Here is a 23,664-nt window from a genome sequence, read left to right as displayed (position 1 = left end):
CACTCCCATTTCCTTTGAGACATCCTGACCCACCACTCGTCTTCCCATTCCAGATCCCGAGTGAAAGGCCTGGCCACCTCTGTTGACATGGTGAGCAGCTAATGAACCTTTGGGAAGTTGCAAAGGGGACAGTTTGCAGGTATCACTTCTGTCATCGCTCAGAGGGCAGGAATGAGGATGGGAGAGCAGCCATCTTAGCTCTGCTCTCCATTTGTCTGTGAGGTTGGTGAGAACTTTCTGAGACTCTTCTAAAATCTTTTCTATTGTCCTTTAGTTTCAGAACTACTGGGATCTAAATTTTGGTCCCAGAGGCTGGGAACCAGTGCGAGAGATTGAATTTTCTGTAATGCTTATGGTCTATTGAGCAAATGAATAGCATCTGAAAATGGCAAGACTCTATAAAATTAAGAAAATGAATTGTTTTCAAGCAGTTTTAGAGGAACCATTTACATACGGACAAGATAATTATGATATAACAAAAGCTTGTGTTATTTAAGGTGGGGCTTTGGTAGTCTAATTTAGTGGGTGTCTGTAGTAGATCATCATCATAACAGCTCCCAGTGAATCAATGCCTCCCTGCATCCACACCCCTTTGTAACATGATATTGTTGCTCTTCCCATCAAGAAATGGTCTCTTTTGGCCGGGCACAGTAGCTCACGTCATCCCAGCACTTTGGGAGGCTGAGGCAGGCAGATGGCTTGAGGTAAGGAGTTCGAGACCAGCCTGGCCAACATGGTAAGACCCTGTCTCTACTAAAAATACAAAAACTTAGCCGGGCGTGGTGGTGTGCATCCCAGCTAATCAGGAGGCTGAGGCAGGAGAATCACTTGAACCTGGGAGGCGGAGGTTGCAGTGAGCCACGCACTCCAGCCTTGGTGACAGAACAAGACTCTGTCTCAAAAAAAAAAAAAAAAAAAAAAAAAAAAAAGGAATGATCTCTTTCTCTATCCCCTTGAATCTAGGCTGGTCTGCAACTTGGTTTGAATAATACAAAGGGATGGAAGTAATGTTCTCAACTTCCACGCCCAGGTCTTGTAGCTTCTGTTCCCATGGAAGGGACCCATCCGTTATGTAAAGAGGGCCAGGCTCTTCTGGAGGGAGAAGCTGTGTGGAGCACAACCAGCCCCAAAGTGCCACACGTATGAGTTAGGCAGTCTTGAGTCCGCCAGTCCTAATGGAGCCACTGCTACGCTGAGTCCTACTCAAATTCTTGACCCATAAATGTGTAAGCAAATAAAATAGTGGTGGTTTTAAGCCACCAATAAGCTTTAGTGTGGTTTGCATGTGGCAATAGATAATGAATACAGTCACAATTCTAGCTGCTAATCAGAGTCTAGCTGCTAAAAAAATTTAGGAACTTTTATAAAAAACAGATTACTTGGCCAGGTGCAGTGGCTCACGCCTGTAATCCCAGCACTTTGAGAGGCTGAGGTGTGCAGATCACTTGAGTCCAGAAGTTCGAGACCAGCCTGGCCAACATGGCGAAACCCTGTCTCTACTAAAAATACAAAAATTACCTGGGTATGGTGGTGGACTCCTGTATTCCCAGCTTCTTGGGAGGCTGAGGTGGGAGAATCACTTGAACCTGGGAGGTGGAGGTTGCAGTGAGCTGGATAGTACCACTGCACTCCAGCCTAGGTAACAGGGTGAGACTCTGTCTCAAAAAAAAAAAAAAAAAAAAGCAGATTACTGGGTTTTGTCTCCAGAGTTTATGATTTGGGACATCTAGTGGGGAGAGGACTGTCTCAGCCTTCTATAATCTACATCTTCCCCCACCCCCATGCAATTTTTATTTGAAACAAGTTTAAATCTGTAGAGAGGTTGAAAGAATAGCACAAACATCTAAAGAAACTTCTCCTGGATTCACCTATGGTTAACATTTTGCCATATTTGTATCAATCAATCAATGTGTTTGTCTTTTTGTAAAATCATTTGACAGGAAGTTGCAGATGGCAAGTCACTTCATCCCTTATCAGGGGTATAAGGGATTCTTACATCCCCGTCTAAGAAAAGAACATTTTCTTACATGACCACATTATCATTGTCACAACCAAGAAAATCCACATGGATTCAATCATATCATTTAATTTATAGTCTATATTCAAATTTCCTAAACTTGGAAATGTCCTTTATAGATTTGTTTAGTTTTAATTTTATTATTTATTTTTATTTTGAGACAGGGTCTCGCTCTGTCACCCAGGCTGGAGTGCAGTGGCGCGATCACGGCTCACTGCAGCCTTGATCTCCCAGGCTCAAGCGCTCCTCCCATCTCAGCCTCCCAAGTAGCTGGGTGATAGGTGGCTATTTATTTATTTATTTTTTATTTTTTTAGAGATGGGGTTTGTCTATGTTGCTAGGGGTGGTCTCAAACTCCTGGGCTCATGTGATCCTCCTACCTCAACCTGTCAAAGTGCTGAGATTATAGGCATGAGCCATGGTGCCTGGCCTCACCAGCAAATTTAAATCGTAAAAGTTGCTGATGCCAGCTGTTTCTACTTCCTTACTTCTCATTCTCTTAACACGGTTGTCCATCTTCTGTCCTCTCCACTCCACTGAAATTCTAATGTCACCAACAACCTCAGTGATTTCCACCCCAGTGGTTATTTCTATGTCCTCACATTCCTCGACTTTTCAAGTGCTTTCCCTGTAGCTGACCACTTCCCCCTTCTTGAAACACTATTTGTCCCTTTGGCTTTTGTGACATCACACTCTCTCCTGGTTTCCCTCCTACCTCGGTGGCTGTGGCTTCTTGGGCTCTTTTGTGGATCTTAGTCTTTTCTGCTTGACCTCTGCGTGTGGGGGAGCCTCTGGGGTCTCTTAACCTATTCACTTTTCCCCAGCTAATCTCATTCAGTCCCATGACTTTTCATCTATATACCGACAGACTCCTAAAGGATTATCTAGCCCTGCCTTCTCCTCTGAGTTTCAGTCTCATATAACTGACTGCCCACATGGTACCTCCACTTTGATGTATAAGAGGCGTCTCAAACCTAACATGTCCTAAACCATTTTTGATCTCCCTCCCCTACCTGGCTTCTGCCCTGGAATCTTCCCCATGTTCATTGCTTTATCTACTCAGTCCCTGAAGCCAAAGCTTAGGGATCCATTTCATCTGTTTTCCTCACTCTGCACTGTCAATCCTTTAATAGGACCTGTCAGTCTGAAAGGGACTCTGAAAGTGTCTGAATTTTCTCACCTGCACTGCCGCCTTTCTTGGTTGATGGTCCAAGCCACTGTTATCTCCAGCCCAGGTCACTGTAAGCCTCTAAACTGGCCTGATTCCTTCTTACTTGCTGATCTATTTCTCTAATGATCTCTTGTTACTCCGCTGCATAAAACCTGCACAATTTCTAACCTGGGCAACATAGCAAGACTCTATCTCTAGAATAAATAAAAATATTAGCTGGACATGGTGGTGCATACTTGTAGTCCCAGCTACTCAGAAGGCTGAGGTGGGAGAATTGCTTGAGCCCAAGAGGTCAAGGCTGCAGTGAGCCATGAGTGTGCCACCACACTCCAGCCTGGGTGACAGAGCAAGACCCTGTCTCAAAATTAAAATAAACATTAAACTCCATCATATTTAAAATCCAAGCTCCTTCCCTGGGCTGTAAAAACCTATGTGATCTGACGAGGTCAGGAGATCGAGACCAGCCCTGCTTGCCTGCCTCTGCAACTTCCCCTCACTCACTGTGCCATAGCCAAATCGGCCTTCTCTCAGTTCCTTGAACCTGCCAACCTTGTCCCTTCCTCAGAGGCTTTGCACGTGTTCTTCCTTCTCCCAGAGTGCCCTTCCCCCTGGGTCTTTGCATGGCTTTCTCCTCTCCAGCCTTCAGGTTTTGACTCAAGGGTCACTTCTTTAGAGAAGTCTCTCTTGACCACCCAAATAGAAAGTAGCCGCCCTCCCCGAGTTACTCTTTCTCACATCTTGCTGTTTTATTTTCTTCAGAGCACTTATCTATTTTAATATTGCTTCCTCGTTTGTTTACTAGTTTTCCATTTGTCCTTTCTACATTTAGGGAGTTGGGTTCTTCTGCGATTTGTTTACTGTTGTGTCTCCAGTATTTTTAGAAGTGTGCCTGGCACGTATTAGGTAGTAAATGACTGGAAACAGTGAATGGGCCGGTGGACAATCCCAGTATTAGAAACCCGGGATTCACCCTGCTCTCCTGTGCTCCTGCTTTCTGTTCAGTAGCCAGGTGCTATTCATTTTGTATTCTTGATTTTTCTGAGCTCTATCCCCCTTCCCAGCTACTACCACTGGCTTGGTTTTTTCCATCAGCACCTAGACAGTTTCCCAGTCACTAGTCAAGGACTGATCCCTGCATGTGTTTTTTTTCCCCTCTTCCTCCAGGAAGAACAAATCAAACACTCTCTGTGCCACCATGATGTTCCCAGATCTACTTCCATAGGACCCCTGAAGCTTTATTGCACAAACCCTTTGCTGTGTTCGCCTCCTCCTATTATAATCCCCCTGGAGTCAGGGATCCCATCTTCCTGTTTTTTTTTCTTTTATTCTTTTTTTTTTTGAGACAGAGTCTTGCTCTGTTGCCCAGACTGGAGGGCAGTGGCACAATCTCAGCTCACTACAGCCTTGACCTCCCAGGGTCAAGTGATCCTCCCACCTCTGCCTCCCAAGTAGCTGGGATTATAGGCAGGTGCTACCACGCCTGGCTAAGTTTTGTATTTTTGATAGAGATGGAGTTTCGCTATGTTGGCCAGGCTGGTCTCGAACTCTGAACTCAAGTGATCTGCCTGCCTCGGCCTCCCAAAGTTCTGGGATTACAGGCATGAGCCACCACACCTGGCCTGTTTTTTCATCCCAAATAATTAACAGTGTGCCTGGCATGTAGTAGATATCTGATAAATGTTTGAAAGAAGAGGATGAATGAACACGAATGAGTTTGACTAAATGGGTCTACATAAAAACAGCTACAATAAAGCACAAACCTAAACTTTAGATTTAAAATTAGTGATGTCCAATTTGTGAATTTAAAAACAACTTTAAAATAAGGCTTACCTATGACAGTTAAAGCTCAAAGACTAGTGACTGACAAACTTGCTTTTGAGGTCATCGTGTTCTTCATTCCAACGTCTGCAGTTCTTGCTATTCATTTTTTTTTGAGATAATTTTATACATAAAAATAAAAGCCTAGCCATTCCCATATTCTTCTCATAGAGATACAAAAATAAAGACGACTTAGTGCAAAGAACCCCATGCTATGTACAAGTTTTAGGAAATCTTTTTTTATTCCCTTTGTATCTTTTGTTGTCTTTTAAATATGTTTCACATATCTAAAGCAATTTAGGAAAACTATGAACAAAACTGTTCACACATCCTAGGACCCTAATCTAACCTCAGAAGATTCAAGTTTCATTCTTATTTTTGCTACAATACTCACTCCATGTGCATCTTTTGTATTTCTAAATATTGAAATCAGAATACATGTCCATATCTGTTAGTGAAATAGAGGAAGCTGTAATTGTATAGTATTTCCAGACAATGAATATACAGTAAATTCTGCATGTAATTTTTATCTCCTTCCATCAAGTGTAACAATATGTTGAATTTGCCATGGGCCTTTAAAGCTTCAATGTTGTGAAGAGCTCTGCATGAAATTTTAAAGAGACTGGACCTTTCATCTGCACAACAGCAGGGCACCTCGCTATAGGGACAAGAAAGGAAGAGAGAGAGAGAACATTTCTGAAGTAATAGTGAAAAATAACAGCAGAAGCAATTATTTCATCAAAGGTTGATTTTTCCCTCCCTATTCTTTATTTATATATTTTTTCAAATTTCTTAGCTGGAGATTGTCTACCTTGTTACCATCCTCTCCTGGCATATGTTAAATTTGCAGGTTTCACATGGTCAAAACGGGGGAGAAAATTCATAAATGAAAAGATGTTTATTTTAAGAGGTGATGTTATTGATGATTGCATTTGAATGTATTTGCAAGGGATCTGCAAGTGGGGAAAGTTGCAAATAACTAAATTTGGCACTCCCCAGCGTCCTGAGTCTGTTTGCTTGGGGATATGAATGATGCGGATATGTTTTCTTCCTCACTTTGTTTTCTCCCTTTTCTCCCGCAAACATTAGCACAAACTTTGACTGCTGTGGCAGGGCAAGAGAGTTTTCTCTCTGCATCTCTGTGGCTAATACTAATATGCTTTTTTTGTTGTTGTTTGTTTAATCTTGGGAGTTTGCCGGGCCCTCCTGGCTGTGGAGTCAGTTTGTACCACTTCTGTGAGATAGACGTTATCCTACTGGCAAAGAGGATAACCAAATACAGAGCCCCATCTTCTTTTCTGTGTTTTTTTTTTTTTTTTTTTTTTTTTTTTTTTAGATGGAGTCTTGCTCCATTGCCCACGCTGGAGTGCAGTGGCGTGATCTCGGCTCACTGCAACCTTCGCCTCCCAGGTTCAAGCGATTCTCCTGCCTCAGCCTACTGAATACCTGGGACTACAGGTGTGTGCCACCATGCCCAGCCAATTTTTGTATTTTTAGTAGAGAGAGGGTTTCACCATGTTGGCGAGCTGGTCTTGAACTCCTGACCTCAAATGATCCACCCGCCTCAGTCTCCTGAAGTGCTGGGATTACAGGCGTGAGCCACTGCGCCTGGCCTTTTTCTGTAATTTTGATAAATCATCAAAATGAAATGCCTGGGCCTGCTCTGCTGTTTGCTTTCATTTTGGATGACTCACTTTAACCTCCCTCTTCCTCCATTTTCTTTCTCCTTTGTCTGATGTTGAGAGGATTGATAAAACACTATTTATTTGGGCTTTGAGGACTTTGGAGAAAACGCCCTCCCTCATGTTAGTTTCCTATCGGCACTGCAATAGATTCCTACAGATTTAGTGGCCTAAAAGAACACAAATGTTTTCTCTTACAGTTCTGGAGGCCAGAAGTCGTATGGGGCTCAAGGTCTTGGCAGGGCTGTGTTCCTTCTGGGGGAGTCCCCGGGAGAATCTGTTTCCTTGTCTTTTCTAGCTTGTAGAAGCTGTGTTCCTTGGCTCATGGCCTCTTCCCCATCTTCAAAGTGCATTGCTCCAGCCCCTGCTTCTATATCCCATTCCCTTCTTCTTGAGATCTTTAATCATATATGCAAAGTCCCTTTTACCACGTAAGGGAGTGTATTCACAGGTTTTAGGGATTAAGATTGTGGACATCTTTGGGGGCACGTTATTTGGCCTACCATCGTGCCCTTCAACTTTATACTAAATAAAATTTTTGTAATCTTCATTCTATTTCTTTCCATTTGTGGATGTGCAGATCATTCCATTCTCAAATGGCAGTGACAGTGAACTTCTTGTTCTTTGTTTTTTGAGATAGTGTCTCTCTCTGTGGTCCAGGCTGGATTGCAGTGGTGTGCTCACAGCTCACTGCAGCCTCAATCCCTCAGGCTGAAGCCATCCTCCCATCTCAGCCTCCCTAGTAGCTGGGACTACAGGCATATGCCATCACACCCAGCTAATTAAAAAAAATTTTTTTTGTAGGGATGGGATCTCACTATGTTGTCCAGGCTGGTCTTGAACTCCTGGGCTAAAGCAATCCTCCTGCCTTGGCATCCTGAGTAGCTAGGACTACTGGCATACACCACTACACCTGCATAATTTTTTGTAGAGAGAGGATGTTACTACATTATCTAGGCTGGTCTCGAACTCCTGGGCTCAAACAGTCCCCCTGCCTTGGCCTCCCAAAGTGCTGAGATGGGAGTTGTGAGCCACCACGCCAGGCTATGACAGGAGAACTTCTTAAATGCACACGAGAGAGTTTTGTTTGCATCCTCTCCAAAGATTCACCTAAGAGTCAAAACTGTCAACAGCTTCAGGGGAGCAAACTTCTTGCAGCGCTGGCTCCCTAAGCAATTGGGGCTGTTTCTCTGTGTCTTTCAGAGGCTTGTGGAGTTTTGAGGAAGTAGATTTTTAGGATTCATCACTTCAGGCTCAGCCAGAGGCTTGGAGATGCACGTATGTTATAATCTCAGCTATTCTAAACTTCCTCACTGGGTGCAGATCTTTACTCTCTTCATTTTGCATTTATTAAAGATCTCTCCTCATTTTTTGGGTGATCCCCTCTCTCACCAACTGACTGTGGTTTTAGGAAGATCTCTCCCTTCTCTGCCAAACTTACTTACTCCATCCTCTGTGTTCCCATAGTGTTTTGTGCATTCTTTTATTGCAATCTCCATCTTTTAGGATTGTGATTATTTGTTTCTGTGTCTCCTACTAAAGCTTGAGGGCAGGAATCTTGACTTATTTACCTTATTATTTCCTTCATTAGCACAGTGCTTGACCCAGAGTAAGCACTTACTGTGTATTTTTCAACAAGTGAATTACTAGAACATTTTTTTTCTTTGAGACAGGTTCTCACTCTGTCACCTAGGCTGGAGTGCAGTGGCAGGATCACAGCTCACAGCTCACTGCAGCCTTGACCTCCTGAGCTCAGGTGATCCTCCCGCCTCAGCTTACTGAGTAGCTGGGAGTACAGGTGCATGCCACCATGCCTGGCTAATTTTTTTGTATTTTTGTTTTTTTTTGGTAAATATGGGGTTTTGCATATTGTTCAGGCTGGTCTCAAACTCCTAAGCTCAAGCAATCCTCCCGCCTCAGCCCCGCAAAGTGCTGGGATTACAGGTGTGAGCCACTGCACCTGGCTGCCCTAGTTCTTTATATATTAACTCTGGGTCTGTAGGGGAATCCAGTTGACCTGGGTTTGTGACAGTTTTGTGGGAAACATGTTCTTCGACATTGCCTGTGTCAATCATGTAGACTGTATGAATTCGAAACAGGCCTAAGGTAACATGAGACAGTGGGAATATCCCAGTTGGACCATAGATATTCCAAATAGGAAAATAACTCACGTGGGGCTCATGGATGAGCTGTTTGTTTCTTAAGAGGCTTCTTGGGATGACATTACCTCAGTGAATCCACAGTCTAACCACTGGCCTTTTTCCTGGCAAGCTGAGAACTTTGCTTTCTGTCTACACGTCAGGTGGCTTAGTTGGCCTGTTGCTTGAGCCAGGGACCCTATTGCCCGGGAAGCATTTGAGTTGGCACTATTACCATGTGCTTTTCTGAAGCTTTTGGCTCTGTACTTCCATGGCTAAGCAATATGATTTTTTAAAATTGATTCATTGTATCCTGTTACACATAGAGCAAGGATATAGTCAAGTATTGCCAACCCTGAAGCCTTTCTGTGTCTGTTAAGGGAGAGAGCATACCATGTTAGTTGAGAACATAGGCATTGGAGGCCGGGCGTGGTGGCTCACGCCTGTAATCCCAGCACTTTGGGAGGCCGAGGTGGGCGGATCATGAGGTCAGGAGATCGAGACCATCCTGGCTAACACAGTGAAACCCCGTCTCTACTAAAAATACAAAAAATTAGCTGGGTGTGGTGGCGGGCGCCTGTAGTCCCAGCTACTCGGGAGGCTGAGGCAGGAGAACAGTGTGAACCCGGGAGATGGAGCTTGCAGTGAGCTGAGATCGCGCCACTGCACTCCAGCCTGGGCGACAGAGTGAGACTCTGTCTCAAAAAAAAAAACAAAAACAAACAAAAAAAACCCCAAAAACATAGGCATTGGAATTAAACAGAACTGAGTTCAAATCCCTGGCACGGCCACGTAGACTGTATGGAACCCTTGCCACTTTCTTGAACTCCTCTAACCTTATTTTTCCTTTCAATAATAATAAGCAACCTTAGGTGCGTTGTGAAGATGAAGTGAGATATACGGTATGAAAGTCCGCGGTGTTTGGCATGGGGAGGTTGCCTGGTAATTGGTAACTTCTAGCTTCATTATGATGTAGGTGACCTCTCATCTCTCTCTTCTGATCCAGTTTGTGCTGTTTTTCAAGTTTAACTTTCAGGAGCTCATCTTATTTATCTTGATTCCAGATTGCAGGGAGAGGCTCCTCCGTGCTCCTGAGAGGCCGAACACAGGGTCGCCAGCACAGCTTACTGCTCGGTGTCTCCTGAGCCACAGAGGAAGACGTGGCAGGAGCACCTGGTGCTAATATATATTCATGTCTATGGCAATGCCGACCATCTGGCTGGTCTGAACCAGGATAAAAGTGAAGAATTCCTCTGTGAAGACCCAGCTCTTTCTTTGGCTCCTTTTTTGAAGCCATCTTTGCTCTGCTCTCCTCTGCTGCCCAGGTATGTGCAGTATAAACAAGTTACACACATATCGCATAAATCCATGCTTGTGAAAAATCCAAATAATGCATAAGCATATAAAAATTATTGTCTTCCTTTACTCTCCCAATGGCCCTCAACCCGTCCTATTTACTAATCATTATTAATAATACAAATACATAATTAGTAAATTAGTATTATTTTGGTGTGTATCATTCTAGCCTTTTTCTATGCATTTATATACTTCTTTTAAAAAATGGTATTACACTATGCACACTTTTTGGCAAACTGCCTTTTTTTTTTTTTTTTTTTTTTTTTTGAAACCGAGTCTCACTCTGTCACCCAGGCTGGAGTGCAGTGCCGCGATCTCGGCTCACCACAAGCTCCGCCTCCCAGGTTCAAGTGATTCTCCTGACTCAGCCTCCTGAGTAGCTGGGATTACAGGCGCCCATCACCACACCTGGCTAATTTTTGTATTTTTAGTAGAGATGGGGTTTCACCATATTGGCCGGCAAACTGCCTTTTTAACTTAATGTTATTTGATCTTTCATGTCAGTACATAAAATTCATCATATTCTTTTTTTTTTTTTTTTTTTTTTGAGACAGGGTCTTGCTCTGTTGCTCAGGCTGGAGTGCAGTGGCACAGTAACGGCTCACTGTAGCTTTGACCTCCAGGGCTCAACCAATTCTCCCACCTCAGCCTCCCATGTAGCTGGGACTGTGGGGGTACACCATTACGCCTGGCTAATTTTTATGTTTTTTGTAGTGATGAAGTTTTGCCATGTTGGCCAGGGTGGTCTCGAACTCCTGGACTCAAGTGATTCCCCTGCCTTGGCCTCCCAAAGTGTTGGGATTACAGGCATGAGCCACTGCTCCTGACGTCATCACATTCTTTTAAATTTTTGCATAGTTTTCTGTATATAGATTAATCAATGTATACCATGAGAGTATTGATGGATACTTAGCTTTCCAGTTTTTAAATACTAAAAACAAGGTTTCGGTAAATATTTTTGGGTTACAAGTGATGTACCTATTAATATTTTGATAGATATTGCCCAACTCTCCTCCTATAAGCCAGTTTATATTCCTATCCACAGTATGCAAGAAGGCCCATTTCCATATATACTCACCAATATTATATCTTCTTTAGTCTTTTTACTAAATGATAAAACACTTTATTTTAATTTGCATTTTGCTGATTATCTGTGAGATTAAGCATCTTTTCAGTTTTTTCATTGGTTCTTCTGAATACCATAAGTTTATATCTTTTTCTCAGTTTTCCATTGCTTCATAGGAGCTCTTTGTATATTATGGATTTTTCGTTTTTTTCTCTGTACTTTCTTCCAGTCACTGTCTTTTAATTGCTTTTTTGTGACTTTTGCTATATACAGAAATTTTAAATTTTATCTAGTTGTTTTTTGCTTTCTTATTATAAAATTTACTCTATTTTATATTTGTAAAGGAGTGTAAAAGTTTAAAAATTACTCAATCTCCCCTGTGGTAACACAGGATAATATTATTTACATGTAACAAATAAGAAAAGTTTAGCACATGAAGTTTAAAACTCTTATTGCAAACTCTAGCTGCTTTCACATCAAACCAAGCATTTATTGAATACCTACTATGTGTCTTATGTGTTAGATAATAAAAATTAACATAAAACATGGTCTCTGCCTCTATTTGTATGTGAAGCATAATGGTTATATACACCTTAGAAAATCATATAGGGAATTGGTTAGCTAAGTGCTGAATTTTGTTACAGAAAAAGTGGCATTAGAATTCAAAAGGAAATGGGTCAAAAGAGTATATATGCTAGTACCTGAAAAAGGCTATAATGGGAAACTTAAACTGGAGCTTAAAGCCTGGAAATATTGGGTAATGAGGTTATAGAACCTATATTAGCTTTCTATTTCTGCATAATGAACCACCCCAAAACTCATAGTTTAAAAAAACTACCCATTTAATGTAGCTCATAATATTGCAGGTTGACAATTTTGGCTGGGCTCAGCTGGGTGGTTCTTTTTTTCTTTTTTTTTGTTTTTCCCTTGAGATGGTGTCTTGCTCTGTCGCCCAGGCTGGAGTGTGGTGGTGTGATCTTGGCTCACTGCAACCTCCGCCTCCCAGGTTCAAGTGATTCTCCTACCTCAGCCTCCTGAGTAGCTGGGATTACAGGTGTGTGCCTCCATGCCCGGCTCATTTTTGTATTTTTAGTAGAGACAGGGTTTCACCATGTTGGTCAGGCTTGTCTCGAACTCCTGACCTCAGGTGATACACCTGCCTCGGTCTCCCAAAGCACTGAGATTACAGGCGTGAGCCACCGCGCCCAGCCAGATGGGTGGTTCTTCTAGTGTGGGCCAAACCTAGTTAATCTTGTCTGAGGTTGCTTGTGTACTTGTAGTTAACTGATAGATTGTGTGGGCTGACTGGTTTATCAGAGCCACATCTGGGACAGCTGGGATGATTGGGACCTTTTACCACATTGGCTCTGAACCTCTTTCAGCCCACTCTGTTTGTTCCCATGGTGAGCACAGAGTTCCAAGAATTTGAGAATGGAAGCTGTAGGGTCTCCTAAGGCCTCAGCTCAGGGTTGATATGCTTCCATTTGTGCACATTCTATTGGTCAAAGCAAGCCATAAGATCAGCCCAGATTAAAGGGGTGGGAAAATATACTCTACCTCTTGATGGGAGGAGCTTAAATATTATGGCCATTTTTGCAGTCTACTGCAGAACTCCAATTCAGATTCATGTTTGCTTACTGATTTAATGCTTGCATTTATGTTTGATGATCCTGCTCAAAAATATCTTTGGCAAGGCCAGGTAAAGATATGAATAGTAAGAGAGTCAAAGTCTGTATACAAGTAATATTTTCCCATGGCAGAATGCATATTGGCTTTTTAGAACACCTTTCTTTCATCCTCTTTCAAATAGGATGGTTAGGAACATGATGTCTGGATTTCCTTGTTTGTTTGTTTTTTTTTTTTTCAGTCTAAGCTCACTGCAACCTCTGCCTCCCAGGCTCAAGCAGTCTTCCCACTTCAGCCTCCCAAGTAGCTGGGACTACAGGTGTGTGCCACCACAACCCGCTAATTTTTGTATTTTTAGTAGACATGGGGTTTTGCTGTCACCCAGGCTGGTCTTGAACTCCTGGACTCAAGCGATCCACCCACCTTGGCCTCCCAAAGTGCTGGGATTACAGGCGTGAACCACTGCGCCCGGCCTGATGTCTGGATTTCTAGACTGGTCAAAATGACTTACGATAATCCTGTTCCCCTGTCCCCACCCCCTCATTTTAAACATAATGAAAAGGTGTTGGGATGTGGTTATTCAACTGTAGTAATAAATGCCATGATTATTAATGCAAAGTATTAGACTAAAAATTTATACGTGATTATTCTCCAATTTAAAAAAGCCAACTTCTAGTATTGATTTCTTGTGTTAATCTTTATTTTCAAGTTAGTTGACGTTGCTTGCAATTTCTGGTTTAAATGGTTAGTATAAACTCTTCTTACCTAATTCTGGCCTTGTAGGAACAGTCCTAGGAATTCCATCAATTCTTGTTTTTACTATATGGAGTAAGGGGAGGTGGCAATGAGTCCTTTGTCTAAGCTCCTCTCCCTTCTAGCAATCATGAGGCTTCTCGGTTCATACAATAGGTGTGAGGCTTAGGAATAGACTTATAGACCTGCCGGTTCGTGTTTTCGTTTATAAATTTATGGTCTTTTGGCCAAACCTTTAACTCAGAATGAAGCATGAGTAATGTCTGGGTGTAACCTAAAATGTATTTATACAAAGATGGTACTTTTTTGAAAATGCAAGGTTATTTACTATTGTCCTCAGTTCTTTCTTAAGGAACAGAGGCACCTTGAAAATTTGATATATTTGTACATAAAAGCCGATTTCCTTTGATTCTTATACATACACAAAATGATGCTAATTAAAAGAAATATGCTGTTCAGTAAAGGAACAGTGTATGATGAGGGAGCCGTCCGTGAATGCTGGAGCCAGAATCTTGTTTGAATTAAGAGGATGTCTGCTTAGTTAAGGCACCCCATGGAGATGTATAAGGCCAGAGCTTCCAGCAGTCCATACTGTCTTTATTGAGAGACATATTTATATCTTCCAGACTAGTAATTAATCACTCAGTGGGGTTTTCTTGGGGGGAGTCATGCACTCACAGAGAATCTTTTTGTCCTGCCAGGAACCACAAAGCATGGGCACAATTAAAATGCTGATTCAATTTATTATATTGAAGCATGGAACAGGAATGTTTAAATGATGTTGACAGGGCCAGAATTTCAAACCACCTTTTTAAAAATAGAAAACAAATGCCTGTCCCCTTAAATTAAATTATATTAATAACATGTCTCTTATAAGTTGCTTGGAAGCAAAATAAAGCTCTTGACATTAATTAAAATCTGAAGATGTATCATTTGTCGTTAATGTGCAGTCTTTGTTAGGGGAAATACATTTCAGAGTGATCTATTTGTGAAAATTAAATGGGGAAAATTGCCTATTGAGCACATGTCAGTTAACAAAGCTGCTTTTCTTAGAAATATGGATTCTTAAGCAACTAAATTGTTTTTATACTCCAATAATGGTTTCTATTTTTGATCCTCTCAAAAATTGTCTCTGTTACTCGAATTTTGATATTTCCACAAAGAATTCTATTGTCAGGGGGCTTGTAAGCCCTAAAAACCAGGAAGGCCTTCATACATTTTGAGGTGTTGGGTAATATACATTTGCAATGAGAATTTCATCTGAAATTGATGTGGTTAGGCACATGGACCTCCTCCAAATACCTCTGCAGGACCAGGAGCCGAAGGGCCCCATTTGCAGCCTTTAACTAGCTCTCCTCTGATGAAGGCGATGTTCTGTGTTTTGAAACTACACGTTACTGGTTTCACACGAACTAGAAAGTGCCATGAGATAATGGGATAGCTGTTGCCTTGCTGTACCCCAGGGATGAGAGGTAATAGAGTCACCTCTGTTGAGGACCTCACATGCAAATAATATTCTGAAAAGGTATACATCTCCAGGGTCATGAAGGAAAGGCTGTTTTTTACCCTGGTTTAGGTCTTATTTTCTTTTGGTGATGGCACAAATGCATTTGACTTGGGTTTTCAAAGTTGATATCTAACAGAACTCTTAGACAATGTTAAAAGAATGTGTTCTTCAGTGGATGCAATAAAAAACCCATGAGTGATGCATGTTGTCCGTCACCCCCTTCCTACAATCTTTGTGGACCTTGATAGTCTAACTATGGCATGGAGACTAACTAACCTCTGTTGGTCTTGAGAATTTAGAGATAGAAGTGCAAATGGAATGGAAGAACGGAGTCATTTGTCTATGTGTGTCTCGCCACTGGTTAAAATGAAAGCAGCCACAGTGAAGTCAATATTTATTTTTATGAACATTTATGTGGTATGAGCTTTCTTTTGGGAAATGTCCCTGTTTTTGTGGAAAAATTCTTATGACTTAGGTAATAAATAATAATGAACTGTTGTTGATGTTGTAAGAATTGTTTTTCTCTCCTCCCTTTACTTATTCCCCTGCATCCATTTAATCACCAATTCCCGTGGCTTCTACTCTTTGATATCTTAATGTTACACTTCCCTTCCCCCTTCCTGACCCCAAGGGCTCCTAAACTCCTGTCACCGCAAACACTGATTTATTCATCTGCTCTGTTAGAGGGCATGAATCACATCTGATTTGACCTGGCCGGTGTGTGGCATATAGTAGGTGATCAGTATATATTCAATGTATTAATGAAGGTTTCCATATAAGTCATTTAATTCATTCATTCTCAGTGGGCAGAGGGATGGGTGTGTGTGTCACTTCCCCCCTACCCCAGCATTTGGCAGCATCTGGAGACACTTTTGGCTGTTATAACTGAACTGGGGAGTGTGTGTGTGTATGTGTGTGTGCATGTGTGTGCATGTGTGCTACTGGCATTGTGGGTAGAGGCCGGACCTGTTGCTAAACATCGTACCATGCTCAGAATCACAACAAAGAATTATCTGGCCCCAAACACCAACAGTGCCAAGTTCGGGGAACTCTGCTCTAATTTGATTTCAAAATATCTATTTTAAATAGATAAACAGGTATCAGAAGTTTCTTTACTCTAGATATAAGAAAACACACTAGGAGAGATTAAATGCCTTATCTAAGTCCACCCAACATAAGGTAGTCACAGAACCAGGAATTCAACCCTAGGCCCTTGATTCCAAATCCAGATAATAACTAGACTATTTCAATCACTAAGGTGATTATTGTGCTTTTAAAATAGTATCTAAACAATAGCCTTATATTTGAGCCTTGGAAGTCTGTCCACACTCTACTCAAAAGTAATATACTGGAATTAAGGCAGAAAATATTTTGTATGCATATTTGAAAGATATCTCCGAGATTCTTTTAGATCTTGTATAAACAGTTTGAATCTGCTAGGCTTACATTTTTCTACAGAGAGTAAATTTCTTCAGTGAAGTGAGTCAGCTCATCCATGATCCCATTGACACAGTTCTGAAAGATTAACATTATTAAATATTTTTGTATTATTAAAGTTGAAGCCTGAAATGTCTGAATTGACCATTAGGTATTTGAGCAAATGCCTGATTAATTTTTAACGCAGTACTTATTTACATTCTGGGAACAGTACACGGAGCGCAGCTGCTTCAAGTGCATGAATCTGTTTAGCACCTGAGTTATAGATTTGAAATAAAACTATTGTGTGTCTGTGCCTAGACCACTGTATATTGTTGGGCCATTGCCTTTCTGGAAATAGCAGTAGAGATGGATGAGGGAAGATGCAGGTTTGGGTAATTAAATCAGTCAAGGGGAAAAAACAGTTGATTTAAACAAAAAAGAGAGATCTGGTGTACAAGAATGTTTCCAGTGTACAAGACCCTGCGGGAGAAACAAAGATAGTCGAGACATACTCTCTTTTCTTAAGGAGTGTACATAGGTGACAGGAATGTACATATCAAAACTAATTAATGAAATAAGGCAGCCTGAGGGCTGAGTGAATGGCAGTAGCAGGGAACGCAGAAGGGGAAAAATATTTTATATTGGTGAATTCTGGTAAGGAATTAGCTGACAGGAGACTCAAAATACATATTTAATCCAAATTGGAAAATGTAAGTCATGAGCCTTGGTTAAAAAATATTTCATAATAAATTATTCTAGATGATGTATTTTTAAAAAAATTTTGTTTTATTGATTCATCATATTTGTACATATTTATGAGGTACCTGTGATTTTTTTTTTTTGAGACACAGTTTGTTGCCCAGGCTGGAGTGCAATGGTGAGATCTCGGCTCACTGCAACCTCCACCTCCCAGGTTCAAGCGATTCTCCTGCCTCAGCCTCCTGAGTAGCTGGAATTACAGGCACGTACCACCAAGCCTGGCTAATTTTGTATTTTTAGTAGAGATGGGGTTTCTCCGTGTTGGTCAGGCTGGTCTCGAACTCCCGACCTCAGGTGATCTGCCTGCCTGGGCCTCCCAAAGTGCTGGGATTACAGGTGTGAGCCACTGCGCCCAGCTGCCTGTGATATTTTTTTAAATGCATAGTAATGGTCAAGTCAGGGCATTTAGGATGGCCATCATCATAAGCAGTTATCATTTGTATATTAAGCAGTATTTCTTATTTTTTATATCGACAAAGAAATAGAACTCTTTTCTGCAACTTCTGTCCACATCCTCTTTGTGATATTTGGATGCTATTCAAAAAGTAAACATCTTTTTGGAAAGATTTTACTTACTATTTAAAATTCTTTCTGTACCATCAAGTTCTGATCTTTACAGGTGCTGAATTTTTCTGGATTCCTTAGGGCTCTCTGCCATATCATGAGATAACTTTGAGTACTTTCTATATAAAAATTATAAAAGTCACTTGAATTTAAAGAATATTTAGAAGAATACAAAATATCTTTATTTCTCTTCTGTCTTTCAATGTCATCCTTGACTTTGCATGTAAACATGTGGTTTTCCAAAGTTGGGATGGGTGCTGGCTATTCCAGAATGACTGAGTCAAAAAGGTGACAAGATAGTCTTGGAAATAGATAGAAGTTTATTTATTTATTTATTTAGTGGCAGCGTCTTGCTCTGCTGCTCAGGCTGGAGGGCAGTGGTACAAACCCAGCTCACTGCAGCCCCAACCTCCTGGGCTCAAGTGATCTTCTTGCTTCAGCCTCCTGAGTGGCTAGGACAATAGGTGCATGCCACTATATCCAGCTATTAATTTTTTTTTTTAAGAGAAAGAGTCTCACCATGTTGCCCAGGCTGGTCTTGAACTTCTGGGCGCAAGCAATTCTCCTACCTCAGCCTCCCAAAGTGTTGGGATTATAGGCATGAGCCATCTCATCTGGTCTAAAGTTTTCAAAATTATGAGAAAGAACATACAAGTAGAAAATTATACTTTAGTTCACAGTAGAGAGGAAAACATTTGAAAATTATTCCCATGGGAGGCAGAAGAAATAAAATTGCTAACTGACAGCACTTCTGCTTTACCTTTTAAAATCCAAATTAAGTAAGCATTAGATTGAATCATTTTGGCCAAGAAAAATGGCAATTTTATGGTCAACCTAACAGTGGCTAAATATGCGCGAAATTTCGAAAACACCAATTTAAAAATTACCAGTGGGGCCGGGCGTGGTGGCTCACACCTATAATCCCAGAAACATTATGGCTATATTAACAAGACACATTATGAATACATTAACACAGACATCACATTCATAAAAAAAGTGTCACATCCCAGAATACCAACATTTGTAAAGGTTAGACTAAAGGCTGCTAAAGAGTTAGTGTCCATCTGATTCATAGCAGAGTACAATGATACTTCATTTAAAAATTATAAAATTGAGAAGTCTCAATTTTATTGAAAAACACCAGGTGACTTGGTGATTTCATCCCCCAAATCTTATTAAAAAATCTTTCAGTCCAGCTTGTTTAAAGTTCTGCATTTAGCAGGCATGTTTGAACATATTATTCAAAAAAGCAAAATTAAACAGACCTCAAGGTGACATTATTTTACACTGAGATATTATACAAATTTTTTTTAGCTCATGGGATATGGCAGCTGAAAGGATTAATTTTAAATTTCAGTCAAACATGTCTAAATTGTAAATAGTAGAAACTGGTTTCTAGATCACTTGAAATCTTTTATTCAGCTGAATAGAGAAACATATTATATCCCTTTAAATGGGGCCAGTGTTGTGCAGAACTGTGAAGTAGGCAATGGTTATTTTCAAGCTGGTTCCAGGCTCTCCTTTCTATGTTGTTTAGTGTCTACTTCTGTCAAGATCTACTTTCAGAAGAAGATCAGGCTGGGGGCGGTGGCTCACGCCTGTAATCCCAGCACTTTGGAAGACTGAGATGGGAGGATCACTTGAGGCCAGGAGTTCAAGACCAGCCTGGGTAACGTGGCGAAGCCTTGTCTCTACAAAAAATACAAAAATTAGCCAGGCAGGTTGGCATGTGCCTGTAGTTCCAGCTGCTTGGCAGCCTGAGGCGAGAGGATCGCTTGAGCCTGGGAGGTCGAGGCTGCAGTGAGTTGAGATTGCACCACTGCACTCCAGCCTGGGCAACAGAGTGAGATGCGGTTTTTGTTTGTTTGTTTGTTTGTTTGTTTTTTTTAAGGCTGGGTGCGGTGCCCCACACCTGTAATTCCATCACTTTGGGAGGCTGAGGCGGGTGGATCACCTGAGGTCAGGAGTTCGAGACCAGCCTGGTCAACATAGTGAAACCCAGCTCTACTAAAAATACAAAAATTAGGCAGGCGTGGTGGCACATGCCTGTAGTCCCAGCTACTTGGAAGGCTGAGGTGGGAGAATCGCTTGAACCTGGGAGGCAGAGGTTGCAGTGAGCTGAGATCATCGCCGCACTGCACTCCAGCCTGGGTGACAGAGTGAGACTCTTGTCTCAAAAAAAAAAAAAGAAAAAAGGAAAAAAAGAGGATTAGATAAATTCATTCACGCAGAGTAGAATGTCTGAGGTTTACTTTTTGACTGTTTTCAGAAAAGGTTGGTGAAGACACTAGAAGGTCATGTCATGATTTCACAGAAGGTGAAGGTGCTCTGACTGCTTGGTATTGGGAAGGGTAGGAAGATGGGGTGGGGCATGACATCTACAAGGCTACCGTGAGAGGGTGCACAGAGCGTAGCACAGAGTGTACCGTCATACGATGTAATCAGCACTGATCATGAGAGCTGTGGACTGGGTGTGGGGGCTCATGCCTGTAATCCCAGCACTTTGGGAGGCTGAGGCCAGAGGATTTTTTGAGTCCAGGAGTTTGAGATCAGCCTGGGCAATGTAGTGAGACCCCATCTCTACAAAAACATAATAATAATGAGAACTGTGATTATTATAAAGAGGAAGAGGGATTCAGTCTATGGCCTCAAAAATAAAAAGAATAGATGAGTGGAAGACCTCAAGGATGCAGATTCCAGTTGGATGGGAGGAAAAACAATATTCGAATAGAGCTTTCTAAAAATTAAATGGGCTGTCCCAGGAGAGGACTTTCCAATCTTTGGTGTGGTTGTATGTAATTCAGATCTGTCACTCCCAAACCAGGTACACATCAGAAAATCTGGGTGGGGGGGCTTGTTAAAAACACTCCAGTGTTTCTGACTTAGTAGGTCTGGATGTGGCTCAGAACCTGTATTTTTATCAGCACCTGGGTTATTCTGAGGCAGCTGGTCCATGAACCAGCATTTGGAAATCACTTGTCCATATGACCACCTGATGAAGACATTATGAAGGGAAGTGAGGCATTGGGTGGAAGATTGGGGAAAGATTCAATTTCATTTCATTAAATATATTTTTAGAATGTTTTTGGAACATGTGATTCCTTTCTCTTTTCCCATTTTATTAGGAATGTTTTCAAACACACAAAAAATTGAAAAAATTTTACGGTGAACACCCATATACCCACCACCTAGATTCTCTTATTAACATTTTACTATACTTATTTTGTCACATAAATACTGAGATGAAGTTTACATACAATGAAATGTACAAACTTGAGCATAGCACTTCTATAATTAGGAAGGATGAAAATGTGCATTGGAGCCAAGGGGGGTGGGTGGGTGTTGATGAGTAAGTAACAAGATCAATGGTTAGAAAATTGAGAGATGTCAGAGGATGTGCAAGGTAAGTATCAAATTGGGCTATTGAGGAGGACATTTGAGATGGAGATAAAGTCTGTGCTTATTATGACAAATTCTGTATTTGTGAAATTGCCTATTTGCAAAAATTTCCTTTTTGCAACCACGCCAAAGATTGGGAAGTCCTCTCCTGGGGTGGCCCATTGCATTTTTAGAAAGCTCTATTAGAATGTTGTTTTTCCTGCCATCCCACTAGAATCTTTATCCCTGAGAACCCCCAAATCAGTACTCATGGTGCCTTTGCAGTCATTTGTGGACATGCGTAGAGTGATGAAAAATTTGTTGATAAAAATACAGATTCTGAGCCCCATCTAGATCTACTAAGTCAGAAACACTGGAGTATTTTTAACAAGCCTCCCACCCAGATTTTCTGATGTGTATTTGATTTGGGAGTGGCAGATCTGAATTACAAACAACCACGCCAAAGACTGGAAAGTCCTCTCCTGGGTCGGCCCATTTCATTTTTAGAAAGCTCTATTAGAATGTTGTTTTTCCTGCCATCCCACTAGAATCTTTATCCCTGAGAACCCCCAAATCTGTACTTATGGTGCTTTTGCAGTCGTTTGTGGATAAGCGTAGAGTGATGAAGGATTTGAATTATCCGACATGGATGTTCCCAGATGATGTTGAATAAGGTAACGCTCTGTCTTCTTGTTTCAGCTCTTGTAAATAAGTGTTTTTAAATTTGCAGTCTGCTTAGTGCCATATTTTCCACATTTTTGTGCTATTTCCTAGTGATTTTGCTGTTTAAAATGCCTCCCTCCTCCGAAGCTTGGTATTGAAGTAGTGTCCAGTATTCCTAAGCAGAAGGCTGTGAAGTGCCTTACAGAGAAAATACGTGTGTTAGATAAGCTTTATTCAGGTAGGAGTTAAGGTGCTTTAGTTCTGAGTTCAATGGTAATGAATCAATAATATATTAAATAAGGTTTATTTAAACAAACACATAAAGCAAGGTTATGTCTTGATTGATAGAAATGTTGTGATCGACGTTTGCAGGAACCCAACACTGTATTTCTCCTGGGATCCATGGTTCAGTGTTCCCTAATTCAGTGTTTCCATTATGTTCAGTAGAACATAACTACCAAGAATAGATTGTAACACCTTGGGTGGGTCAAAGAAATTGATTGGACACTTCAGTGTTTCTCATCTTTGAAGCTCCGATACTTGGAATTTTCTTAGGTGCAAACGTATTTGCAAGAGCACACCAGCAAATCCTAGGCTTTAGAGTGTGACGTTTTTGTGGAATAATTATTCTACTTGTATGAGAAGTTGGCAGGCTAAACATTCCATTTATTTAAACATTCTGCTAAACTAATAATTTGGGGATTATGTTCTTTGATTTCATAGATATTTGTTGTGTGAAAATGTGCTGCATTTCTCTTAAATATAATCCTAGTAGAAGAATGGTTTACATACCCAATCATATCACCTTTTTACTGTGGCTTTATATAGAGATTTGTTTGTTTTCATACCTTTCAAGATTACTTCTTGTCCAGAGCCTGACTCCCGGGGCTGGAATTAGAACTGGGTATGAAGCTTATGAGAAGGGGATAAAATGATAGTTGTGGAACCAGAGAGATAAATATGTCAGGGAACCTCAGACCTGGCCCCACCTACAGGTGTGTGAGGCCTGAAAGGTGAAGCTGAGCCCAGTGGGGAGAGTGTGGATGAAGGTCAAGGTCGAGTTCAGCAATAGACTCCACATCTTTTACTGTAGGCTCCCTCTTCTTGGGCCTGGGACCTAAACGTAGCAGGTCAGAGCTGGACATTCCTAGATATTTTTATTATTTAAACATTAGTAATCGAATATTTTGTTATGCATCTATTGTGTATGAGATATAAAATACAGACATTACAGACCTTATTTTGAAGGATCGACAATCTGTTTGTGGAGGAAAAGACAAATTACACATGGAGAATTGTAGATAACAAAATAATACGTGGATGAATATGATATCGTAACCCAAGATCCCCAGGTTTCTGGGTATGCACCCTGAAAAAGCACCCACTTGTAACTGTTGCATCTTGAGTTTCAGAAAGTTCCAGAGTGAAGCTCAGCTCTAGATGAACAAAAACTGGTTGAGTCCAGAGATGCCTGAGTTGGAGATGAACCTTGCAAACTTTCCTCATTACCATACTAAAAACCCCACCCAGGAAGGAGCTTATCTGCCATTTCCTACACATGTGACATATGGAGAAGCATGATCAGCTACTTCACAGTCTCTGCCTTTACTCTGCCTCCGCATACAATGGCTCAGCCAACTAGCCTAACGAAAGCTGTTTTCACCATTGTTTGGGAGGTACTGCTTTGGGAAACTGCCCCAGCTGTCCTCCTTACTTGTTGTAGGTAATAAAATCCCTTTGTTAAATC

The 23,664-nt window shown here is 41.3% G+C and overlaps 1 long non-coding RNA gene across 1 annotated transcript; it reads left to right on the top strand.

Moving 5' to 3' along the window:
- Positions 1 to 534: 534 nt before the first annotated feature.
- PSMD7-DT (PSMD7 divergent transcript) lies at positions 535 to 23,664 on the top strand. The gene is made up of 4 exons (NR_104657.1): positions 535 to 704; positions 5,551 to 5,750; positions 9,891 to 10,151; positions 23,330 to 23,664. It is a non-coding gene; the product is annotated as a PSMD7 divergent transcript (long non-coding RNA).

The sequence above is a fragment of the Homo sapiens genome, chromosome 16 (assembly GCF_000001405.40).
Source record: "Homo sapiens chromosome 16, GRCh38.p14 Primary Assembly".
Taxonomy (NCBI): Eukaryota; Metazoa; Chordata; class Mammalia; order Primates; family Hominidae; genus Homo; species Homo sapiens.
This window is presented reverse-complemented; position numbering and strand designations above follow the sequence as displayed.